Source organism: Homo sapiens, chromosome 8 (assembly GCF_000001405.40).
Source record: "Homo sapiens chromosome 8, GRCh38.p14 Primary Assembly".
NCBI lineage: Eukaryota > Metazoa > Chordata > Mammalia > Primates > Hominidae > Homo > Homo sapiens.
In genome coordinates, this window is record NC_000008.11 from 94,169,571 (window position 1) to 94,195,327 (window position 25,757).

The 25,757-nt window shown below is 40.3% G+C and overlaps 1 protein-coding gene across 14 annotated transcripts in view; it reads right to left on the bottom strand.

Moving 5' to 3' along the window:
- CDH17 (cadherin 17) overlaps positions 1-25,757 on the bottom strand; it is a 90,117-nt gene that overhangs the window by 42,409 nt on the left and 21,951 nt on the right. For 8 of the 14 annotated variants that reach the window (NR_182224.1, NM_001144663.2, NM_001413959.1 and 5 more), the window contains 8 exons: positions 25,065-25,135; positions 19,617-19,715; positions 8,017-8,151; positions 6,971-7,109; positions 4,532-4,690; positions 4,227-4,426; positions 1,284-1,415; positions 827-977 (listed from right to left, as the gene is read on the bottom strand). Coding sequence is in view for 12 of the 14 variants with exons in the window: in NM_001144663.2 (NP_001138135.1) it covers positions 827-977; positions 1,284-1,415; positions 4,227-4,426; positions 4,532-4,690; positions 6,971-7,109; positions 8,017-8,151; positions 19,617-19,715; positions 25,065-25,115 (1,066 nt within the window). In the remaining 2 variants the exon portion in view is untranslated. Of the gene's footprint in view, positions 1-826; positions 978-1,226; positions 1,416-4,226; positions 4,427-4,531; positions 4,691-6,970; positions 7,110-8,016; positions 8,152-19,616; positions 19,716-25,064; positions 25,136-25,757 lie in introns of all 14 variants that reach the window. The other 6 variants (NM_001413951.1, NM_001413954.1, NM_001413957.1 and 3 more) reach the window with 6 other exon arrangements.

Below are 25,757 nucleotides of genomic sequence, written 5' to 3' on the forward strand. Positions count from 1 at the left end.
GCAGTGAAGCTCTAGAAATGATAGTCGTGAGGCTGCTACACTTGGAAGCCTCTGAAAGGTACACAGCACAACAGAACAAAACAGTTCAAGAAATGCCAGTCTGCTCAGTCAAGGGGCTCACTGCCAAGGGGGAAACAGACAAGCATTGTCCCAAACCCAGAGAAGCCATAAAACTCCCAGAAATTATAATGTTCTTATAGTAGTTGTTCCTATACAAAAACTAAAAAGCTATCACAGGACACAGTAAAAGAAAACATAGCAAGACAAAGCAAAAATGATAAAAATAGATGGGATTTGACTTCATCTAGCAGCCTCTTGAATTATATTATCAGCTTCTTGGAAAGGGGGGCCCAAGGGTCAAAAGTCAACTTCCATTGGTGTTGCTTACTTATTGCAGGGTGTCTGTCTGACTTTGGGTGTAAATGTTTAAATTCTTTGGCAAATGTGATGAGATTATCTCTTTAATGAGATTATTAGAAGTCAAATAACGTATGGGGAAATCCTGCAAATGAGATATCCCTATATACATGTATATAAGATACTAGTGTAGGTGGCTGTGATACTAATGATAGTAGTAAGGTTGATAATGATAGTGATAATGGTAGTAGCGGTAATGGTAGCTATAAAAGCCCCAATTTAAGAATACTATCCAGATACTGTTTGATCCCAAATACGGTCCTTACGTGACTCCCAAGGTACAGTCAACCTCTATGCTGTGGAAGACATGGATTACTGACTCCCAGTAAGGTCTCCTGCTCACCTTTTACCCAGCAGAGGAGAGAAATGGAGGGCAGTTACACAGCATTAGGCAGCTCTCATTTCTTACCCAGTCGTTCATTCTCCTGGACCTCAAATACGGTTACTGGTGACGGACATGTAGGTGGATTATCATTAATATCTTTAACTTTTACATGAATTTCCAGCGGATATGAAAGTGGTTTTCCGTACTCATCCTTTGCAACTGCATAAAAAACATACTACAACAGGAAAGTCAGAGTTAAGGCAAGACTCACCCACCACCCTCTGTCAAAAGCAGAGAAAATCGTTGTTTCATTTCTATGTCATTTACTCCCTTATTTTTAATTCACTTAGAATTGGAAAATTTTAAAAACTGAGATGGGTCAGAATTATGTGAAAATTATCATGTCTTTGAAAACCAATAATATGCTGGAGTCTGAAATGTGTGTTTTTTTTTTCTTTAAAGTAAAATCCATTTTGCTCTCAACTGTAGATGGGCATAGGACTTTGTCTTGTCGCCTGTGAAACTCTTCTCTTTTACTCACTGCATCCTTTTCTTCTCGGTCCAAGGGCTGAGTCACGTAAATATCTCCTTCCTGGTCAATTGAAAATGGGAATCTTGGCAGCTTCTCTTTGTCAACTAAGGAATATTGTGCACCGGGATCATTCCACCGCACCTACAGGGCCCAAAGTCAGTTGTGAGGAAAGCTGTATTTGGACTGAGAGAACTGGAAAGGAAATAATTTTCTAGTTCTCAATTTGAAATCTCTGACAACCTTGTATGTTTGTGGTTTCTTGTAACAACTGAATTACGTTTTTCACTTTTAACCTAAAATAAGCCTGTTTCCCCCCACCAAGTTATATTGCTCGAAAAAAGCACACCAGGAAATGTTTCTTCTCTAAAGCAATTCTTCACAAACCCTCTACAGGGTTTCTGGGCTGCTTTCTTTTGGAAGTCTGACTGTGAAAGCTTTCTATCCACGAACCATCCATTTAAGAAACAAAATGTACTTTGTGGCTGGCAGTGTCTGAGGACTAAGCCACAATGTATGGTGAGCATCTAATACTCACCAATGAAGATGAACAGGGGCAATAGGGGCCACTCTGAAGTCTTCTCCATGCCATTAAGTAAGACAAATGATACAAAAATAAGGACATTCCTTTCCTAAATATTTAGCCTCAGAGACTTCAGGGATGAGAATAACTGCCAACTCCTAGGGTTGTTTGTAAACAACCTGGCAAAAATAAAAAATAAACACAAGTAAGACCAGTCTACTTGCTATATAGACAGAGCCTGGTCTGATATATTAATAATGTTTACTGAGTTTGCCACATGCCAGACACAATTCTAAACATATTTATGTGTTATATCTCATTTAATCTCCAAACAGTCCTCTGACGTACAGACTACTGTTATCTCTATTTTATAATGAAGAAACTAGGGCACAAAAAATTTAAGCGACTTGCCCAAGGTCCTACTGCTAGTTGAAATTTCCACAGTAAACTATTCTCAGAGCAGCCTGGGAAGATATCACAGCAGCAACTTTGTCCCTTGCTAATTATTTAAGCATCACCCATTGTCCCTGCAGACTACCTTCTTGGTTCTAAAGTGGGCTCCTCTTGTGTTCTAAAAATTCAGTCTGAGTTCCTCTTCCCATCTCCCCCTCCCCCCTCCCCCCTCCCCCTCCTCCCCCTCCTCCCTCCCCTTCTCCCGCTCCTCCTTCCCCCTCTCCCCCTCTCTCTTTCTCCCTCTCTCCTTTTGGGTTTCAGAACACCCAGAGCATTTTTTCCAGACCTGAAAATTGGGTAGGCACTCTAGAATTTTCCCTTGGCAGCCCCAAGGCAACTAAGCATGAGTTCTTTGCAGCATTTACCAATCCCTTTGGGAGTAACCTGAATAATAGCTATGAAGACTTTAGTCTAGGCCCCCAATCAGAAATTCTCATGGTAATGAGTGCTGACATGCTTTCTTTCTAACTGGGAAATCAGAATTCTTCCTGCTGTTCTTCCTTTTTTTTCCCTCCTGAAGTTGAAGTTCATTAATTCAACATTCAATAAATAAATGTCCCTGGGCCCATCCCAATAAATATGATGGAATAGGCCATTCCAGGGCCCCTTAACAATAGTAGCATTAAAAAAAAATTAGGGGAACTACAGACTAGTACTTCTTCATAATAATACCTTTTATATCTAATATTTTTATCTACTTTTACAGATACTGTCTCAGTTAATCTTCACAAAACACTGAAGTATTATCCCTATTTTATTGATGAGACATTGGGGCTCAGAATAGTTAAATGACTTGTTTATGATCAGTCATTCAAGTGATGGAACAGGAATATGATTTTGTTCATCTGCTTCCAAATCCAGGGATCTCCCACTAACCCACAGCTTTCATGTGGAGGAATTTCCTGGGCTTCCAGAAAATATCAAATCTGGGTGGAGTCCAGAGTGAATTTCTAGGAGCTAAGGTAGGAGGGGGCCCAGGGTAAGAGCACATGCCACAGAGGTGGGGAAGTAGGAGCATCTGAACGGAGGGGAGAGGCACACACAGGAGATAGAGTGCCAGGGGTGAGGGAGTTTCCAAGGGGAAAGGTTCCCTACTATGATCCTTTTACCCCTAGCCAGTCCTATCTCCGTCCCTCAGCCTAAGATGGGCAAGTCTATTGGGTCAAGATTTTTTCCACAATAAGAAGCAGCAGCCTTTCAAATCTATTTGCAACCCCCAAATCAAACCATGTCCATACATAGTGCACCATAAATGACCCACTGCAGGGCTGCCATATCCCACACTGCTAACAGGGAACAACAAACATCACTGCTGTCTACTTTTAAGGTGAGGGTGAGTGAAGTTCTCTCTGAAAGCAAAAGTATATATCTGATGTCGTTTGGATGTTTGTCCCCTCCAAATCTCATGTTGAAACGTAATCCTCAGTATTGGAGGTGAGGCCCAGTGGGAGGTGGGATCATGGGGGCAGATCCCTCGTGAATGGCTGAGCACCACGCCCTTGGTGGTAAGTGAGTTCTCACTCTGAGTTCACATGAGACCTGGTGCTTAAATGTGTGTGGCACCTCCCACCTAACTCTCTTGCTCCCATTGTCGTCATATGATGCTCCTGCTCCCCCTTTGCCTTCTGCCATGATCGTAATTTTCCCAAGGCCCTCAACAGAAGCAGATGCTGGAGCCACGCTTGAACAGCCTGCAAAACGATGCACCAATTAAACTTTTCTTTACAAATTCCCCACCTCAGGTATTTCTTTATAGCAATACAAAAACGGCCTAACATAATATCTGCATCCAAGTTGCCTGCCCATGATGCATGGTCAAGTCCAGTGACTCGGGGCCAGAGGCTATATAATTTGCTTTATAATCATGCTATGAAAAAGGTATCTAATAAGTGTATCAGTGAAGACTGTGAGGGTGGGTCTCTACAAAGTGAAGCCATTTATCTAGTTGGCTCTCAGTGTTACTTGGGCTTGGGTACTACCTGAGTGATTTTGATGGGGTGAGGATCAGTTGAGTTTTCCACCATCTCCACAGGTTTTGGTGCTTTCCAAATATTCTCTGTCACTATGATATCCACAGATGTGGTATCACTGAAGGAATTCTCACTCTGGCCTCCCATGTCCTTCACTGAGATCACCAGATTATAGGAAGGATTCTTAGCAGGATTCAATTCCTGAGATCCTGTGAGAAGTAGGGGAGAAGGGAATAGGAAGTGTCTCTGGAAGAGACAGACCAAACTCCCTTTTTCTGATCGAGACAGTCCTACCAGGGCACCCCTGAACTTACCCTCTCGGGTAAGAGAGATGGCTCCCGTTTTGTTGTTGATCTGAAAGTACATGACATTGTTGATCATGGGAAGCTGGATGACAATCTGGTAATAAAGCTGGCCATTGGGAGTGGCCGGATCATCCAGGTCTGTGGCATTGACATACAAGAAGGGCTTTCCTGTTTAACAAGACGTACCCAGAAAAAAAAAAAAAAAGATATTAATTGAAACCCAAACCAACCATAGCTACTTTTTCCATCTAAAAAGTGGAGATATAATAGGGAAAGGTATGACAATTCACACCAGTGGGGAAATAAATATTTATCCCACTCCCCCCTTCCCTAAAATAAGGTTTCTCAAGGTCTGGTCCAAGAACCTCTAAGGGTCCCTGAAACTGTTCAAGTGCTCTGTAAAGCTAAAGGTCATGTTTCTGTAAAAGATCCATTTAAAGTACAAGATAATTTAATGAATTGTAGTGTAAAAGAATGGAAAATATGGTATTAATTTTGATTTCACTTTGCAACTAATCTTTAAGAAACCACAATTTATTGAGTTTGGGTATAGTACTAAAGAATGTCCAGTTATCTGAAAATACTATTAAAATATTCCTCTCTTGTCCAACTGCATATCTGTGTGAGGCTAATTTTCCTTCATATATTTCAACCAAACTAGCACATGGCAAGAGAATGAATGTAGAAACAGACATGAGAATCCAAGCGTTTTCTATTAATCCAGACATTAAAGAGATTTGCAAAGATTAACACAATGCCATTTTTCTTACTATTTTTGTCTTTAAAATCAATTATTTTTCATTAAAACATGTTGATTAGTGTTATTTTTAATGAATTAATAATTTTTTAAAATTTCTAATATAGTAAATGTTGATAGATATAACCAGTGATGTACTAGAGACAGCTCATGAGACTCAGTTGTTGAATTTTCAGAAATTTTGTGTGTCAATTATTAATACCAATGGTCACTTGAAATAGGCCATGGTAGGAGTATTTGCAACATGGAAACTAGAAAATTCTACAAATCAGAGCTTTGTCCCCCTAGAAAAATAGCTGTTAAGCCTTTACCAGGACACCACTGGATATAACCCACCTGTCTAAAAGTTCTCTGGAGTCCTCAGTAAATTTTAAGAGAATATACAAGTCCTGAAACCAAAAAGTTTGAGAGCCATTTCTCTAGCAGATTCTATTAGTGAAGAGAGAAAAGGTACGGCCTGGAGCCTACACATTTAGCAGAGTCTGTGTGAGTCTTTGGTATGCAGCTTCAGGGACAGGGACATCACTCCACATAATAAACTGAAGTGAATTTTTTCCTGGAATTCTCGGAGGCAGGCATTGAAGAAAGAGAAGGAAGAAGCTTGATGGTGGGATGATGCAAATGGCCCCAAGTCTTGATTAGTATTATTTTAAATGAATATCTTTAAAATTTCTAATACAGTAAATGTTAATAGATAAACCATATTTCTAAGAACTCTGAAGTCTAATATTCATTTATGTTGTGTGCAACTGTTAGGAGGTGATGCTCCTTCCTAGGTGCCTGCTGGACACACTCACGCCTTAATGAAGGCCTTAATGAAGGGCTTAATGAAGGGCTTTTGTGGAAGTGAAAGGTAGAAGGTCAATGCAGCATAGAGAAGGGCTGAGCCACAGATGGGATGTAAGAGAAGAAAAGAGCTGGAAACCACCAGTGACAATATCAATGGAGGTTCCTAAGAAGATACAGGGGAGTAAGCTTACCTTTCTAGAGTGTTCTAGAGCTCTGAGGTATCTTAGAGATCACCCTAGAAAAGCGTTTTTCAACTGGGGGTAATTTTTGAGACAGAATCTCACTCTGTTGCCCAGACCGAGTGCAATAGTGTGATCACAACTTACTGCAGCCTCAATCTCCTGGGACCAAGTGATTGTGCCACCTCAGCCTCCCAAGTAGCTAGGACTACAGGCATGCACCACCACACCTGGCAAACTATTATTTTTTGTAGAGACAGGATCTCACTTTGTTGCCCAGGCTGGTCTCAAACTCCCAGGCTGTTCTCAAACTCCTGGCTGAAGTGATCCTCCCACCTCAGCCTCCCAAAGTACTGGGATTTTGTGCCCTCCACCCACCAGAGGATATTTGGCAATGCCTGGAGACATTTTTATTGCCACAACTTGGCAGGGGGGCACATAGTGGATAGAGGTCAGGGGGATGCTGCCAATCATCCTACAAGGCACAGAATAGCCTCTGACCAAAAAAAGAATTATCAGACCCAAGATGTCAATACATAGTGCTGCATTGAGAGACCATGCTCTGGAGCAATAGAGATAGTGAAACAACTCCCAAATCAGTGTGAAATGTAGGTAAGATAGTGCTTATTGAGTGACAGCTGCAGCTATTAGCCACACAAGTCTGCCCCTTCCACCTGACACCCTTCCATCTTTCCATAAATATCTCTGGCCCCTGCCTGTTACCTGGGCGAGAGTTCTGCCTTACTGAGCCTTCGTACTTTGACTGGAGAAACGTGGGTCGATTGTCGTTGATGTCCTTCACTTTTATGGTGATAGGGACTGGACCCTCCACTATAATTCCATTAGCGTCCAGGGCTGCAACCTGATGTTGAGGAAAAGGAAACCATGTTGGTGAGACTGAACTTCATGTCACATGCCCAAAAATCACTTGAAGGAAATTAGAACTCAAAGAACCAATGGCCTGGTGACTGTAGGAGAGAAAGAACTCACAAAAGGCCAAATTGGGAAATGCTAAAACAGGGATTGTATCAGTTAAGCCTGGCTAATCATGATGGTGACTTTCTATCAGCAGGGTGTTCTGGACACTGAACATGCATCTGTTCTGGATGGCTGAAGTCCATGAAACAAGAGCACTGTGACCCCTGAGAATATGAAAGTGTTGTGTTCTCTTCCAGAGCCATTATGGCGGTCAGCCTGCAAGGCCTGCAGCAGAAGTACCAGACAGAAAGCTTTTATCTCACTCTTTTTTCCATAGTAGGCTCTCTGACTTTCCTAGGTATTCAGATACCAACGGTGAAAACTAAAGGAGAAAGAGAGGGAGACGGGTCTTTTTAGTCAGCTCCTGGCTACTGGTTCCCTCTGCTTCTTCCAACGCCCAAAGGAGCTCCATCCCAGCACCGATACAGCCTTCTTCATGGGTCCCAAGCCAATGCAACAGCCACAGGCAGATACCATTGAAGTATCAGAGATGTGCTGACTTTTGATCCAAGTACCTAAGCATGGTCTTACTTGGATAAGTAATGCCATCAGAGGGTCCTGGCAATGTAAGTGGGGTTACGTTGGTTAAAAAGCCTAAGGAAAAGGATATGTTTGCCACACCCCTCTGTAGTTGGTAAGAAATGGACATGTGAGGATTGCAAAGCGTCCCATTAATGTAAGGAAAGCTGTAACTGGATTCTGTGCAAGGAAGGAAGGTGCCAGCCATACTTCCAGAACAAAGGGTGCTCAGAGAGGTTGGAGTTAGATCCCTTCAGCTGGTATCAATTTACCTGGAGATTGTGAGTAGATCTTGTTTCCCTGTCCAAGGCTCTGTTGTAATACAGAAGTCCCTCCCGTTCTATCACAAATATGTTGTCTGTCTCCCCAGTTAGTTCAAAAGTCACAGCAGGAGGATTGGCCTTAAACTGGGGAAAAAGCAAAAAACAGATTAAGTTGTAAGGGAAAAAACAATGTTGTGGAATTTGTAGAAAGTCACCAATTTCAGGTAAAATTTTCATTGGTTCAATTACTAAATAAGAAATCCTCAACTTTTAAAGTGGTACCTTCTAAAAGTTTGTTTGCACAATAACTGTGTAACATTTAACATACATTTTCCTCAAGAGACTGTATACTATTATTCAATACATTGACAAAAGTCATTGATGCTTTAAATTATAGCTGGGGTTAAAAGAGACTTTTTGGTAATATCTGAAATCTATGACATTACTAGCTTCTAAGAAGCATTAAAAGGGTAGCTTTCTCTCTAGGATAAAATATGTCATTTAGCACTTCTAAAAATTGTGACAAAGATTAATAGACACGTTAATGTTAAGGAAAAGAATTTATAAGTGGCTTTAACTTAATGCAAATGCTATATGATAATCTATTACTTTTTCAGAAGTGGAGAAAATACCGACCACCATATTCATAGATATGGCTATATCACTTTTAAGACCACAGCAACAGAAAATTCACATAAAACTAAGAAAACATAAAAGCTGTTCAACCTTAAGTTTTAGTATACTTTTATATATTTTTATTAAATTAAAAGCAATATCAAAGTTAGTATGGATATAAAGAAACATTGTTGATGGAAATATAAATTCCTATAATCCTTTTGGAAATAACTTGAGGCATAAAATGTTTGTACCCTTTGATAGCAAACATTACTATACATAATTTACCCTAAGGAAATATTTCTTCAAACAAGTACATGCTTATAGTGAAAGTAACTTTATTTATAATACCAGTAAGATTGAAAACTCCTAAATGGTCAAAAAAAAAGGACAGTGAAATTATTATGGCACATGAACTTGACAGAATATTAATCATTAAAATGTTCATTCTACAAATTATGAAGAAACATAAGAAACAATGATGTAAAGTAACAGAAGTAAATTTGAGAGTAAATCTAGACTGTTATGGTACCAAAAGAATTCATGTCAGTAGGTAAGAAATGGAATTTAAAATATAAGAAGAGTTGATGTGTTAAATGGGTAAGATTGTAAGTTAAAAAGTTTTTGTGCATGTTTGCTTGTTGATATTATATTGTTTATATAATAAATGAACATGTTGCTATTTTGTGTTTTCAGAAAAAGACCTGGACATCAGTGAGAAAGGTGGAGTAAGGGCCTACAGAAAACTGCTCCTCCATAAAAGCAATGAGAACACTGGCAAAAATTGTAAATATCATCTTTTTAAGAATATGGGAAATTAACCAGATGCTTGCAAAATCCAAGGAATGTTTATTAAAAAAAAAAAAAAAAACTAAGGTTTGTGGTGTTTTAATGCACCCTAATCCCATGGTCCTTTCCTAAGATCTGAAGTAGCCTTGAAAGCAACAGCCTCACACCACAGTACCATGGAGAGGGTGAGAAGCGTTTGTAGCTTCCCAAAAGCTCCATCACCAGAGAACTATCATTATCTATCCTGTTGGCATTTCCCTGGGAACATCTACTTACAACACTTATCTTCATTTGACCGGACTCAGAATTCATACACCACACACAATTTTTCCCCTGGGGCATTTGTTGAAAACAACCATTAGCAATTGTTCAACATTGCAGCTGCCTGAGGCTGTGATAACAGTTGAAGCAAAGAAGCAGCTGACCAAAACACTTAAAAGGGAAAGCTGGGAAATGAGATGTCCATAAGGGGCTTTGAAAATCTCTAATATATTCCTGGCAATCTACAAGGCCACTATCATGAGCAGGGCTGTGTGCATGCCTGGGAAAGACCTGAGAAGGCCCTAATCCCTCACCTCTGGCTGACTTGGAGGCTCTGCATAAGCAGAAAGTGAAGGCGAAGGCAGAGTTGTAAACTGCCTGCCACATAGTTGAAGGTTGTGTCCCAACATGCACACAGTGCCCCTTGGTAAACACCAGGAGACTTACTGGCTTAAGGCATTTAAGGAACTCTCTATCTAGTCATTAGCTGAACACTAAGCTGACTGAGCAGACTTCAGTGGCCAGACATGACAAAGAATACAGACTTTACAGAATTCATTATGGAAAGTCACTAAGCAAACAAACAGCATCAACAACCAACTCCAGGAAAAGAAAGATATATGATTTCTAGAGTTGCCACATCACATTATTTAAAATGTTTGGTTTTCAACAAATTATGAAATGTACAAAAATATTAAAAAGTCAATAGAAACTGTCCCTGAGGAAGCCCAGATGTTGGATTTACTAAAGATTTTTAAAAATCTATTTTAGATAGATTCAAAAACTAAAGGAAATCATCTCTAAAGAATTAAAGTTTGAAAACAATGCCTCATCAGATATAGAATATTGATTAAAAATAGAAATTTTTAAAATAGAAATTCTACAGTTGACAAGGATGATAACTGAAAGGAAAAATTCATAAGAGGGTGTTCAAAAGCAGATTTGAGCTAGCAAAAGAAAGAATTTGTGAACTTGAAAATAGATTAATAGAGATTACTGAAAGAAAAAAAATGAACAAAAATGAATAGATTCCCAGAGACCAGTGAAACACCATCAAGCAGAAAAACACATACATAATAAAAGTTCCAGAAGGAAAGGAAAAAGGGGGAAAAAAGATTATTTGAAGACAGAATGACCCAAAACTTCACAAATTTAAGAAAAACATGAATCTATATATCCAACAATCACTATGAACTCCAAATAGAATAAACTCAAAGAAATCCAAATTTAGTCACATCATAAACATTTGAAAGATAGAGAATCTTAAAAGTGCATAGACTCATCACATGTAAAGGATCCTCAATAAAATTAACAGCTAATTTTCCATGGAGATCAGAAGGCAGTGGAATGACACATTCAAAGTGCTAAAAGAGGCCGGGTGCAGTGGCTCATGCCTGTAATCCCAGCACTTTGGGAGGCTGAGGTGGGCAGTCACGAGATTAGGAGATCGAGACCTTCCTGGCTAACACGGTGAAACCCCATCTCTACTAAAAACACAAAAAATTAGCCGGGCATGGTGGTGGGCATCTGTAGTCCCAGCTACTTGGGAGGCTGAGGCAGGAGAATAGCGTGAACCCAGAAGGCGGAGCTTGCAGTGAGCTGAGATTGTGCCACTGCATTCCAGCCTGGAGGACAGAGTGAGATTCCCAGAGTGAGACTCCGTCTCGAACAAAAACAAGCAAACAAACAAACAAACAAACCAAAAAAAAAAAAAAAAACAAAGTGCTGAAAGAAAAAGAGTGGCCAAGTAAGAACTGTAAATCCTACAAAACTATCCTTCAAAATGAGGATAAAATTAACCTATACTACTATCAGACAAAACAGACTTTAAAACAAAATTTTCAGAGACAAAATGGGATATTCTATAATGATATAAGGGTCAATCCATCAAGAAACCATAGCAATTATAAACATATATGCACCTAACAATGGACCTCAAAACACATGAAAGAAAAGCTGACAGAATGGAAAGGAAATTAAATAATTCAACAGTAATAATTGACGATTTCAAGACTTTACTTTAAATAATAGAATAGAAAATCAATAAGGAAACAGAAGACTTGAACAATACTATAAACCAATTAGAAGCTAACAAACACCCAACACTCCATCCAACAAAAGCCAGTCACATGGAACATTCTCCAGGAGAGGTTATATGTTAGACCATAAGCGAGTCTCAATAAATTTAAAGGGATTGAAGTTATACAAAGTATTTGACAATTGAATACAATTAAAAACAATATAAGGAAATTTGGGAAAATCACTAATATGTAAAATAACAATATACTCTAAAAACCAAAGGTCAAAGAAGAAATCAAGGGAAATTAGAAAATACTTTGATGTAAATGAAAATGAAACACAGCATGCCAAATCTTATGGGATGCAGATAAAGCAGTACTTAGAGGAAAATCTATCACTGTAAATGTTCATACTTTACAAAGATGAAATATCCCAAAGAACCTAATCTTCTACTTAGAAAAAAAAAAGAAAAGAAAAACAAGAAAAAGAAGAATAGCAAAGCAAGCAGAAGAAAATAACAAAGATCAGAGTGGAAATTAATGAAATGGAGAATATAAGAGCACAGGAGAAAAGTCAACAAAACCAGAGTTGATTATTTGAAAAGATCCACAAAAGTGACAAACTTTTGGCTGGACTGATCAAGAAAAATGAGGTAAGATTCAAATAACTAGAATCAGGAATATAAGAGGACTACTACCAACCTTATAGAAACAAAAAGTATTAAAGAGAATATTGTGAACAATTGTTTTCCCACAAATTAGACAACCTAGATCAAATGGACAAATTTCTAGACAGACAAAAACTACTAAAACTGATTCAAGAACACATAGAAAATCTGAATAGAACTATAACAAGGGATTGTATTAGTAATCAAAAAATTTCCACACACAAAAAAGCCCAGAACCAGATGGCTTCACTAGTGAATTGTACCTAACATGTAAAGAAGAATTAACATCAAACCTTCAGAAATTCTTCCAAAACTAGAAGAGTAAGGAACACTTATTCAATTCATTCTATGAGGCCAATATCCTGATACCCAAACCAGAAAAAAGTCAATGCAAGAAAACTTCAGACTAATGTCTCTTTTGAATATAGGCACAAAATTTTCCAATGAAATACTAGCAAACTGAATCCAGCAACATATGAAAAGTATTATATACCATTACCAAGTGGAAATTATACCAGAATACAAAGCTGGTTCAATCTATGAAGGTCAATTAAGGTAGTATCCCATATTGATAGAATCAAGGATAAAAACCACATATTTCAATAGAGGCAGCAAATCATTTGACAAAATCCGTCATCCTTTCATGATAAAAACACTCAACACACCAGGAATAGAAGGTGACTTCTCAGCCTAATAAGGACACCGAAGTAAGCCCCACAGCTAACATTGTACTTAATGGTGAAAGACTGAAAGCTTTCTCCATAAGATCAGAAACAAGACAAGGATACTCAATCTTGCCACTTCTATTTAACATTGTACTAGAGATTCTAGCAAGGGGAATTAGGCAAGAACAAGAAATAAAAGGCATAAAGATTGGAAATAAAAAAATAAAACTATCACTATTCACAGTTGCCATGATTTTATATAGGGAAAATTCTAAGGAACCTAAAAAAACTATTACAGCTAATAAACAAGTATTATAAGGTTTCAGGATAAAAGATCAATAAACAAAAATCAATCTTTCTAACCATTAGCAAATAGCAACCCAAAAATGATATTTTTAAAATTCCATTTACAACCACAACAAAAAGAATAACATATCTCAGAATAAACTTAAGCAAAGAAATATGAAGCTTATAAAATGGAAACTACAAAACACTGTTGAAAGAAATTAAACAAGTTCTAAATAAATGGAAAGACACCTAGTGTTTACAGATTTAAAAATCTAATGCTATTAAGATGGCAATACTTCCCAAGTTTATCTACTGATTCAATACAATCCCTATCAAAATTACAGCTGCCTTGTTTGTAGAATTTCCAGGCTGATCCTAAAATTCATATGGAACTACAGGGGACTCAGAATAGCCAACAACAAAGTAGGAAGACTTAACGTTCTCTAATTTCAAAATTTACTACAAAGGTGTAGTTCCAGATAATGCAGTACTGGCATAAACATATATAGATCAATGGAATCATAGTGGGAGGCCAGAAACAATTCAATTGATTTCTGATGAGGATGCTAAATTCAGTGGGGGAAAGAATGGTGTTTTCAATAAATGGTGCTAGAACAACTGGATATCCACATGCAAAAGAATGAAGTTGGACCCTTACCCCATACCATACACAAAACTAACTCAAAATGGATCAAAGACCTAAATAGAAAAACTAAAACTATAAAACTCTGAGAAGAAAGCATAGACATAAATCTTTATGACCCCGAATGAGGAAATGGTTTCTTAGATATGACATCAAAAGTACAAATAACAATAACAATATAAATTGGACTTCATCGAAATTCAAAGCATTTGTGCTCCAAAGGACACCACCAAGAAAGTGAAAAGATAACTTATAGAATGTGAGAAAATACTTGCTGCAAATCATATCTGATAAGGGAGAGAACTTGTATACGGAATATGTAAATAATTCTTACAACAATAAAAAGACAAATAACCTGATTAAAAGTAGGCAAAGGATTTGAATAGACATCTCTCCCAAGAAGATATATAAATAGTCAATTGCCCCATGAAAAAATACTCAACATCAGTCATTAGGGAAATATAAACCAAAACCACAAAGAAATACCACTTCACAACCACTAGGATAGCTATAATTAAAAAAAAAAAAAAGACAGATAATAACAAGTGCTAAGGATATGGAGAAATTGGAACTCATACATTACTGGTGAAAATGTAAAATGGTTCAGCTGCTTTGGAGAACAGTTTGTGGTTTCTCAAAAGTTTAAACAGAATTAACTTTGACCCAGCAGTCCTGCTACTGAGTGTGTGTGTGTGTTTGTGTGTGTGTGTGTCCAAGAGAATCAAAAACATGTCCTCATAAAAAGTTGTACATGAATAGCCATAGCAGCATTATTCATTATAGCCATAAATGAAAAAAAATGTCCATCAATTGACACATGGATATCCAAAATGTGATATATCCAGATGATGGAATATCACTCAGTCATAAAAAGGAATGGAGTTCTGGTACATGTTACCAACATGGATGAATGTTTAAAATACTATGGTACATAAAAGAAGTCATACATAAAAGGCCATATGTTGTATGATTCCATTTACATGAAATGTCTAGAACAGGCAAATCTATAGAGATCAAGAGTAGATTAGTGGTTGCCCAAGGCTGAGGGGAGTGGAGGCTGGAGAGTGACTATTAATAGGCATAGGATTTCTCTGGAGGCTGATGGAAATGTTCTGTAATTAGATAGCAGTGATATTTGCACGTCTTTTTAGATACTAAAAACTACTGAATTTTAGAGGCATGAATTTTTAGGGTTACATCTTATTTAAAATGAGAAAAAAAAAGACCTCTCTCAGATTTATATCACACTGTCTGATGATATGGAAGCCCCTGGTGAGTACAGAGCTGGCACTAGTTGAAAATCCACAATGAAAGAAGTGTATGGTGGTTCAGTTCATTTTATTTTTGAGGACATATTAAAAACCCAAGAACCAACCTCATGGGGCAATGAGTGTTCTTCATGCCTCTGTAGGTCCAGGTGCTGGATGAGAGGATCTGTACACCTACCTCCTCCCCACCACTGAAGCAAAGAGCTCCGAGCACATCTTACCAAGGCTGGGTTTGCTGCATTCTTTCCACGTACAAAGATGGAGAGAGCAAAATGTGCTTGACTAGAAGTCAGGAGACCTGTGTTCTATTGTTGGCTCTGCCATTAACTAACTTAAGCCTCAGTTTCCCCATTTTTAAAACAAGCGGTTGTACCAAAACTCCCCAGTGTGTTTTCTAGCATGAAGCTTCTGTGATTCTAAAAAGAAAATCCCCTTCATCTTCCTCTCACTACTCTGTCATCCCAACCCCACACCCTACCCCAATACACACACACACACACACACACACACACACACACACACCCCTGTAAAGAAGAAACATTCAACCATGATAACCAGGCTATCATTTCCTGCTAAGAAGGGATAACTTTGCAGCATGACTAACAGAAAAACTAAAACAAAACAAAAAAAGAAAAGTGGAGCAGCCCAAGGCATGACTTTTACTGGCTAGGATCCCCAGAGACTCTGGAATGATCCTACTGAACAGTTTCTAGGTCTGGATGTTTGTCCGTTGTAAAGCTTGTAAGTTGAAGATTGCATCTATGTACAATCCTGATTGTCTTCAATGGAGTGTGGACCTGTACTCACAGAACACCTACTCTATTTTGACCTTGGGTCTTTTCATACAGAAATCTCAGAAGTAGCCACAAACTTTGTTTCACAAATATGTTTTATTTAGCTTGTAATTAAAAAAAAACTATGCCAATTTTTTTACATCAGTGAATTTTATATAAATATAACATTTTATGCCTTTTCTAGGAAAATTATAAAATCTAGTAGAGTAGTACCCAAATTCTAACTCGTGAAAATCGTCTGGAGCTAAATTAAGCCTATCCCCTTTTGACTTACTTTCAGTTTGCCACAGTCCCCACTACTCCCTCTTGTCCCAAATACTAAAGACAAGTATGAGAAAGCGTTTGATTTCATATTTGTGCAGTTGGGTTTTTTTCTCATATCTGTTTTTTGTTGTTGTTGTTTGGCTGTTGTTTTTCTTTTTTCCATATGGCTTCATTTATCACTCAGCTAGCCCCTAAGAGCAGTTGAGATAACTCACCACAGACAGGTATCTATGTCATATCCAAGCACTCTATTGGCACCTATATAAGGAAGTCTCCCCAATCTGTATCTCCTGACCCATATTAACACTGTCTGAGACCTCTCCACCTGGCTGCCCCACAGATAACCTTAAAATCAATAAGCCTAAAACTCATTCACTTTTCTCTAAATCTTTTGCTGTACTCTCTCTCTCTCTCTCACTCAGTGACACCACTAACTACCCAGTCAAGCAAGCCAGAGACCTAAGAGTTGTCCTTCTTTCTGTTCCCTCATCCCCTGTGCTCATTCAGAAACATAAACAACAGAAGTTTATCGCTCATAGTTCTGAAGGCTGAGAAATCCAACCAGCAGATTCAGTGTCTGGTGAGGGCCCACTCCTCACAGACTGCACCTTTCATGTGTCCTTACATGGCAGAAGAGGCAAACAGGCACCCCCAAGCGTCTTTTATAAGGGCACTAATCCTATTCATAGAGGTAGAGCCCTCATGATCTAATCACCCACCAAAGACCCTAACTCTTGATATTATTACATTGGAGATTAGGCTTCAACATATGAACTTTGTGGGGACACCAACATTCAGACCTCTATAGTTACTCAAACCAGGCCTCCCTCACTTCCCGTTGAACTATTGAAAACAGTTTTCTAAAATCCTTTTAACGTCTAGGCTCGCTCCCTTGCAGCTCATGCTCTGAGTGATCACACAGTAAGCTTCTACAGCACAAATCTAGTTACGGTTTTCCTTGTTGAAACCCTCCAGCAGCACCCTGCAGCCTGCTATAGGACGAAGGGCTAGTCCAGCCCGTGCTGACCTCCGCAGGCATGCAGACCTTTGACTGCATCCTGTCTCCCACTCTATACTCTGGCCCACATGCCAGCTGTCATTTTCTTGACAAGTGCACACCCCCATGCTTTTTCCCATCCTGTACTCAGCACCTGCTTCCTGACTGTGAGCACCTGCTCGTTTTTGAGTACTCAGTTTAGGAGTCAATGAAACCTCTTCTGTTCGCTCACTACCATCTTTATTTGAAATTGATCATTCTTAGATTTTAAGTGTTCTCACCACAAAAAAGAGATAAGTGAGATAATGCATATGTTAATTAGCTTCATTTAGTCATTTCTCTCTATACTTCAAAACACATTGTACACAATATGTGCAATTTTGTCAATTAAAAATAAACATAAACAAATAAAAATCAGTCACTCTTTCTTAGTTTACCCTCTGCCCCCTCCACATCCCACCAGCCTCCCATGAGAAGCTTCAGTGCATGTGTCTGTTTCCTTGTTAGTTTTCTCTTACTAGCTGGTAAGCTCACCGGAGCAGGGATGGAGTCGGGGTCATCCCATATCCCCAGTACCCAGCAGAGCAGCTGGTATATATAGTAGTCACTCCGTACATGGTTAATAAAAGAAAGTCTGTGAGAAAAAGTAAGTAATTCAACTCTGTGTGAGCCCCTGCCAGAGTCCCCTAGCCAGTTCCCTGAATCCTCTCTTTCCTCCTTTAGTTTGTAGCCAGAGTGACCTTTTCTCAATGGAGTCTTGATTCAGATCCATTGCTTTTGAGAAAAACTCAAGATCCTTAGGAGTCAGGGTCCTCCCTGTCTCTGTGGCCTCCTCTCCCACCTGCTCCTCCTGGCTCCATCCTCCCTACCTGCATGGCCTTCTGCTAGTCCTTGGTATGTCTCCTGCCCTCTCCTGGCAGAGGGCAGCCATCCCTGCCGGGCCTCTTCTAAGCTTTCTTCCCTCCCTTCCTCACCAAGTTAATTCCCATCAACCTCCAGCTCTCAACACATTCACTGCTTCTTCAGGCCCTGACTTCCCTGACTGGAGAGGTGGAGGCCCCTAATAACACCCTACCTCACCGGGCTGCATAGACATGCAAGCATGCCCCTGCCAGCTCTTACTCTGGGGCCCTTTGCCTTAAGCTGGTACCAATGAAAGAAAGGGGAAGAGAGATAGCTTTCAGCCTCTCCTCTGTGGAGGGGAACTGTCCAGCACAATACAGTTGTCCCTTGGCATTGGTGGGGGCTCATTCCTGGACCCACGCAGATACCAAAATCCACAGATACTGAAGGCCCTTATATAAAGTGGTGTATTATGGTCATGGAACCTACTCGCATTCTCCCATATACATTAAACCATCTCTAGATTATTTATAATACCTAATACCATGTAAATGCTATGTAAATGATTATTATACTGTATTTTTAAATTTGTATCATTTTTATTGTTTTTCCCAAATATATTTGATTCTTTGTTGGTTGAATTTGCTGATGCATGAACCCACAGATACAGAGGGCCGTCTGTAAATTTTTGGCAGTTAATGGAAGGCACTTGCCTTAGAAGGTAGGTAGCTCAGCAACCTCTGCCACTTCCCTGGTTCAGGGGACGGGGAGGGGTCACGGGCACCCCCAAGAAGGCTCATCAGCATCCTCCAATCACTTCAGGGCCAAGTGACTTTCTCAGGGGATGTCTGGTAAATACAGTAGTGTTTTCCCCTTCTCCACTACATTTCCAGGATTATTTCTGTGTCTTTAATAGCACTTAAGATGGGACTTAGGTCCCTTCCCTTATTCCCACCTGCAGACTGCCCCTCCATCTGATACTGTTCATGGTTATCTAACTAAATAAAACGTCCACCTCCCAGTGCACCTTGACAATGGCCCACATGGGGGCTCAGAGAAGGTGGTAAGGAAAAGGCAGTCCTCTGGCCAGAAAGCTCATTCTAGCACTGACTCCAGAGAAGCCGTATCTTCCAGTACTTGAAGCAGCAAGCTCATTGATCAGACAGCCTCGAGGGTGGATGGTCATTCCCCTCTCCAGAGACAGGTTCCCTTTCTACTCTAGGGGAGAGGCAGAGCCTGCAGCCACCAAGCTCCCTGCAGAGGGCTGGGAGCACTCGCCCCAGAGATGATTGAGGAAGTCCAAATAGAATGTCAGGTACAATTCTTATGATACTGAGGCCACTCATCTCTCTGTTTAACTTAGCTTCTGAAATCATTCTTGATAATGAGAATGCCATGCCTTTATTTTATTTCCTGCTATACAATAGATAAGGAAGTAAAAGTCCACCAAGAGAGCATACAAAATCAAGAGGACAGTGATCAAGGGTAGCTTTTACCTGGAATATAATTTGACTCGGTTCTTGGCCTTCATAAATAGAAAATGTCATGGGTTTCAGGGGTCCACTAAACTTCCCCTCTTGGCCATATCCAGTTGCCTGTTAAAAAAGAAAGAGAAAATTAGCATCTTGTATGAAGTGTCTGTGTCACTCATTGATTTTATTAGGGCTTCCAGCACCAATATACAAAACATAGGATTCTATCATGGCTGAAATCTGATCAAAACAGGAAAGAGTGTAATAGCTGTTGAAGCTCTACCACGTCAAAGTAGCTTGTTACAAACCTTTCCATTGCTTTTCTTAAACATCTGAGCAGAATGTGAGATGAGAAGAATCACTCTATGAGAAGAATGTTAACATCCCCATATTACAAATGAAGCTTAAAAAGGTTAACACAGCACACATGCTCAGGCCTAACTGAACTAAAGCCCATGGTCTTCCACAATCCCACACTGTCTTCTAAATTATATATGTTTTTACTCCAGCTTCATAAAACACCTCCCTCCACTCTTTTTATTTTATAAAGACATTTACAGCAGATTGCCAGCACTCTAGTGTTTTGAATTTATAAGGGGGAGAAAGAAAATATAGACGTATTTAGTACAAAGTTTGCTTGGCACAGTTACACGGTAAGTTTTAGCCAAATTTGAATCTGAATTTGAACTATAACTTTAAGCAAAGCTTACTATTTTAACATTTGATTAGCTCTTTACATTCATTTAGAAAAAAATAAAAGTACAAAATGTTTACTTTAAGCAGTAGCCCCACAATGGTTCCAAAATCCAAAGACCCTAAACTTGAAAGCTAAGCAGGCTCTGCAGACACCCAAGTCAAGACTGGAGTAGTAGTGAATGTGGCTGGGATGGTAAGAAGAGTGGCTCACACTTGCTAAGTTAGTACATGTGGAGCTCTGTCCTAAGCACATTTAATCCTGACAAAAACTCTGGCAGAAAGTTACTATTGTTACCCTTGTTTAACAGGTGATGACACTAAGACCCAAAGAGGTTAAATTATTTGCCCAGGTAGTGGCTGGAAGCAAGATTTGAACCTGCAACTCTGGAACCAGCCCTCTCAGCCTCTATGCACCAGCACCCACCAGAGCGGGTGAAACAGCCAAGGCAACCTGGAGGGAAAACTGGCAGGCTGCACTGAAGATGTGCATGAGAGTGTGACTCCCACCATTCCCAGTCTCAGAACATGGGGAGCATCACTGTAGCCCTCACCACAACAGCACCTCTGAAGGCAGATGGAGTGGGCACCCACGGGAAGGGACAGCCAGTCATGCAGCCACGTTGGGGCACCCTCTAGGACCAGGGATTTAGTGCCTCATCCCCACGCTGGCCTTCTCTCCTTCCTGGGCACGACTTTGGGTCTCCCATTTGTGGAAATCAGGGGTGAAAGAGATTGAAATCAGAAGCATGATGTGGCAAGCCAATGGTTTTTGGAGCTAGACAATAAAAATAAAAGAGTAAAAAGTCTTCTCACTCCCTGAACTGGGTATGCAGGACAGATGTCCAGGTGCCACTAGGTTGGGGGAAAACCATTTATTTTCCAGTTATTTAGGGAGAGCAAGCACACTCTTGCCATGGAAACTGCTCCCTGCTGGGAATACCCAAAAGCCATCAATATGCCAGTGATCAGAGAAAGGTCTTATGCTAGATCCCTCAGTCTGGGGAACCTTGACTAAGTTGGATGCTGGATGTCTGGCAAAAAAGCAATAATGAATGAGAACACAGGGGCTTTGAAGTTTGGTCTTCTGTTCTCAGATTTGTGGTAGGGCCTTAGATTTGCTGCCCCTGGGCCACTGCCAAGCCCTCTCCTTTTCTTCCTCCCACCACAGAGACCGGTAAACCAAGTTCCCTTTCCCAGGCTCACTTGCAGCTAGGAAGGTGGCCAAGTGGCCCAGTTCTGGTTCATGAAATGAGAGGGGAAGTCCACTGGCAGTGGTCAAGCTTCCATATTCCTGATTTTAAAAAAAAGGGTAGTTGTGGCTGCCATTGCCCTTTCCTGTGACTCTTGCTGAGACAATGTACCTTGTGTCTGCAGTTGGGGCAGCTGTGATGAACCCTGAGAGGACAAACCAGCTCAAAAAATGGTGTAGCAAAGAAAAGTAGCCCAAGTCTCTGCAACATCATGGAATTGCTAAACCTGCCCTGGATTGCCTACTTCAGACTTCTTGTTATCTGAGGAAAATAAACCCCTATTTATTTAAAATGCTCTAAAGTCAAATAAGTCAAATTTCCTGTTACTTGCAAGAAAATGCTTTTTTTTTTTTTTTTTTTGAGACAGAGTTTCACTTTTGTTGCCTAGGCTGGAGTGCAGTGGCACGATCTTGGCTCCCTGCAACATCTGCCTCCCAGGTTCAAGCGATTCGCCTGCCTCAGCCTCCTGAATAGCTGGCATTACAGGCACCCCCCCACCATGCCCGACTAATTTTTTATATTTTTAGTAGAAATGGGGTTTCACCATGTTGGACAGGCTGGTCTCGAACTCCTGACCTCAGGTGATCCACCCGCCTCAGCCTCCCAAAGTGCTGGGATTACAGGCATGAGCAACCATGCCCGGCCAAGAAAATGCATCCTTAACTCACAAAGTAATGTTGCCAGACTTCTAGCCCATCTCCTCCTTTCTAAGTTTATCTTCCTTTGGGAGGTCTTCATCCCTTTCACTCCTTTTCCACATCTTTTCCTGTTCCATCAGCTCCTCTAGAAGGCAGGGCATAAGAACTGGGTGTGCAGGACAGATGTCCAGGTACCACCATGGTTGCTTAAGTGAGGTCAGTGCTTTCTGTGGAGCTGCTGCTTATCAGCTTTGCACTCATGTCAGCAAGCAGTCTTTCAGTTAGTCACACCAGTGAAAACTACATTAGCCACACACAAACAAGGCTGCACTATTCCAACAAGGACAAGCTGGCTCACCCATCAGAAAATGAGAATCAAGTCTTGGTTCCAGGGTTCAAAGTTGCGTGCTTGTATTGGGGCAACAAATCTCTCTTCCTGCCAATAAACATGACTATTGGGGCTATAAAGATTTCAAAGTGCATGTGGACACTGTGAATCATCAAGCCGCTTTCCCCAGAAGTGGGAAAGATGGTATGGTGGAAATCTGTGAAAGGACAAGATGGCGGCTTTATGCAGGAGTTGGAGGGAATAGCGTTTTCCATCTTGCACAAAGAGGTGAAAGGAAGAGAATGGAACTGCCATCTTAAAGTCATTTTTAGCATCTTTTATGTGGCAGTAATGGGACTTGATCACCACAAGACATCATTTCTTCTGACCAATGCTATGAAGAAAGTATCTCCAGAGAAGTCCCACAGTAGAAGCAAAGCATTCAGAGACAGAGCTACCTCCAGACCAGACCCAGCGCCATTGGACCACCAAGCCCCAACTCTTAACCACATTGTTACTGCCTTCCAGGTCAAAGGACATGTGCAATTGCCAGGTTCACCTACTTGGTAGCTCCATCAAGAGCTCAGTGCAGTGATTATGTAGTATTTGTACCAAACTCATCTTCCTTCTGGAAGGCCCAGGCATAACTCCAAAACAGATGGCTCTGCCTTGGTTTCCTCCGATTCCCTGTTCAGTACCATTTCCCAAACCCTGGATCACTTATTTACTCTCTCTTTGGTGCCCCTGAAGTACATCAATGCCGTATTTGTGTTTCTAACCCTCTGATAAATCTATCTCTTGGAAAAGAACAGAAGATCTACTCGCAGTCTGGAGTAAATTAGTGCTTCTGTTGAATAAAGCCCTATGCAGAAGGCAAGATTCTTCAAGCAAACTTCCAGTCTTCATAGAAGAGGCCTTGGGAGGAGGTAGGAGAGAGAAGTGGCTCCCTCCCAACACCCCTGAAATCCCACTCCCTGACTTCACCCAGAGACAGCTGTGCTTGTGGCTTTCACCTGGGTAAGGCACTGCTGCCAGCAGTGGTTGGGCAGTATTTTCACTCTAGATAGAAATCCCACTGGGGTGAGAGTAGAGAGAAGGAAACCTTATTTTCACCTTTCATCCAGGAATAAAAATGCATGTTCCCTTCTCAGACAAGAAGCAAATAAGGCCTAATAATTAGATATTATTATTAAATAATTTAGCAGTGTGCTCAGTGCTGAATCTGCAAAGATGATAAAAGCACAGTCCATTTTTCATGGAGGTCAGAGTCCATGTGGACGTACACACTGAACACTTAAAATGCTGTAGTAATTATAGTAGCTAATGTTTATTGTGTGTTTAACCACCAGTCGCTGATCCAAGAGCTTTGTAAATGCAGTATCTCATTGAATTGCCACAAAATCCCATAAGACAAGTACTATTATTAGATCCACTTCACAGGGCAGAAAACTGAGGTTCAAAGCTTAGGTAACTCACCAAATTCTTATCACTGGTAGTGGAGGCACCGAGTTTGAATCCATGTCTGAATTTGTCACTACCCTGGGATAACATAGGTGACAAAGGGCATTTGAGGGGGTAGCATGAGGAGAGAGGTCAAGTGGGGATGTTTGATCCAGCCCTTCCACAATCCTGGAGACAGGCTTTGAGCCTGCAGGCTGTGAGGACTCAGGCTTCTCATAAAGTTTGAACTGCAGATTTCCCCCGGGAGGAAGGCTCTGATAGTTTTCAAGTTTCATTCAATTTCACACTGTCACTATGTGAGCTCTAGGGTATTTTTTGGGACTTGAAATTTGATGTATTATTTATGGATCCCAGAAGAAAGGAAGTAAGATTTGAGGTATGAGGATCTAGAAGCTTCCTTCTTTAAAAAAAAAAAAAAGAGAGCAAATGCTTCCTCTAAATCTTATAATCTCGTTTCATAATGCAGCAATTTTGGGGGCAACCTTTATGAACCTCAGCAGTCACGTAGATTTTAAAAAAAGGCACCTACTGTTTACCCCAAGGTCAAGGGTGAGGACTCCCCAGTTTCTATCCAGCTCCGAGCTCTAGAAGCCTGTCAGTCAATAGGGTTAACCCAACAAATGGTTAAAGACAACCAGAAAATTCCAAACCCTTGATGAGAAGAAAAGTATAGAGCAGAGCAAGGCTGAAAATAGAGAAAATGCTTTTCTTGATGTTTTGGTGGTAAGTTTTCATGCGCAAAGTTTAAAAAAGAAAGTCAAGATTAAGGGACACAGACTAATTCATGTATCAGTGCAATGTCATTTCAGATTCCCTGAGCTATAGATAGATTTGTTTTCAACATTACCCATAACTGGTGTTGGCTTTTAAGAGCTGGAAAGAAAATACATTCCCTAGTCGAGGGCAGACATGTGATTTGTAGCCATTTCATCGAAAATATCACAGTGGAACAAGCTATGTTTCCATTCTATACAACAACTTAATTTTGATAGGTCATCTTTTTTTAAGTAATAATAGCCATTCTTTCCCTGGTGTGGGGTAGAAAGATAGCAGAAAATATTCTAGTAAACAAATAGAGAAGAACACCCTCTTCTCTTACCAAATAAAGCATAAGAAGACACAGGGAGTGAAGATGGGCCTGAAGTATCATAGTTTTCTTTATTCAAATTCCTGTGAAGGAACCAGATAAAAAAATGGTTAGTTACCAGTCTGTTAAAATCATGTCTTTCCAATCAGTAAGAATCAATGGATGATATCCAGTTATAAATCTAGTAAAATGGTATCCCAAAAGGCCAGCCTCTCCTCTATATGGAGCAGCCCAGTCTTCCAGAAGCTTCATGCACATCATCCATAGCAATATGCAAGCCAACATCTCAAAACATGCTCACAATAATTCCATTTATCTAACTGCTTTGCTTTGTTATGATCTTCTTCATTTCAGCGTCTTAAATGATGGGCAATGAGTGTTTGTTTTGGGGTTTTTGGAAACGCAGTCTCACTTTGTCATCCAGGCTGTAGTGCAGTGGTGCAATCTCATCTCACTGCAACCTCCACCTCCTGGGTTCAAGCAGTTCTCCCACCTTAGCTTCCCAAGTAGCTGGGATTACAAATGCCCATCACCACGCCTGGCTAATTTTTTGTATTTTTAGTAGAGACAGGATTTCACCATGGTGACCAAGCTAGTTTCGAATTCCTGACTTCAGGTGATCTGCCTGCGTCGGCCTCCCAAAGTGCTGGGATTACAGATGCCCAGCCAGCAATGAGTATTCCTTTCACTCCTATTATACAGATG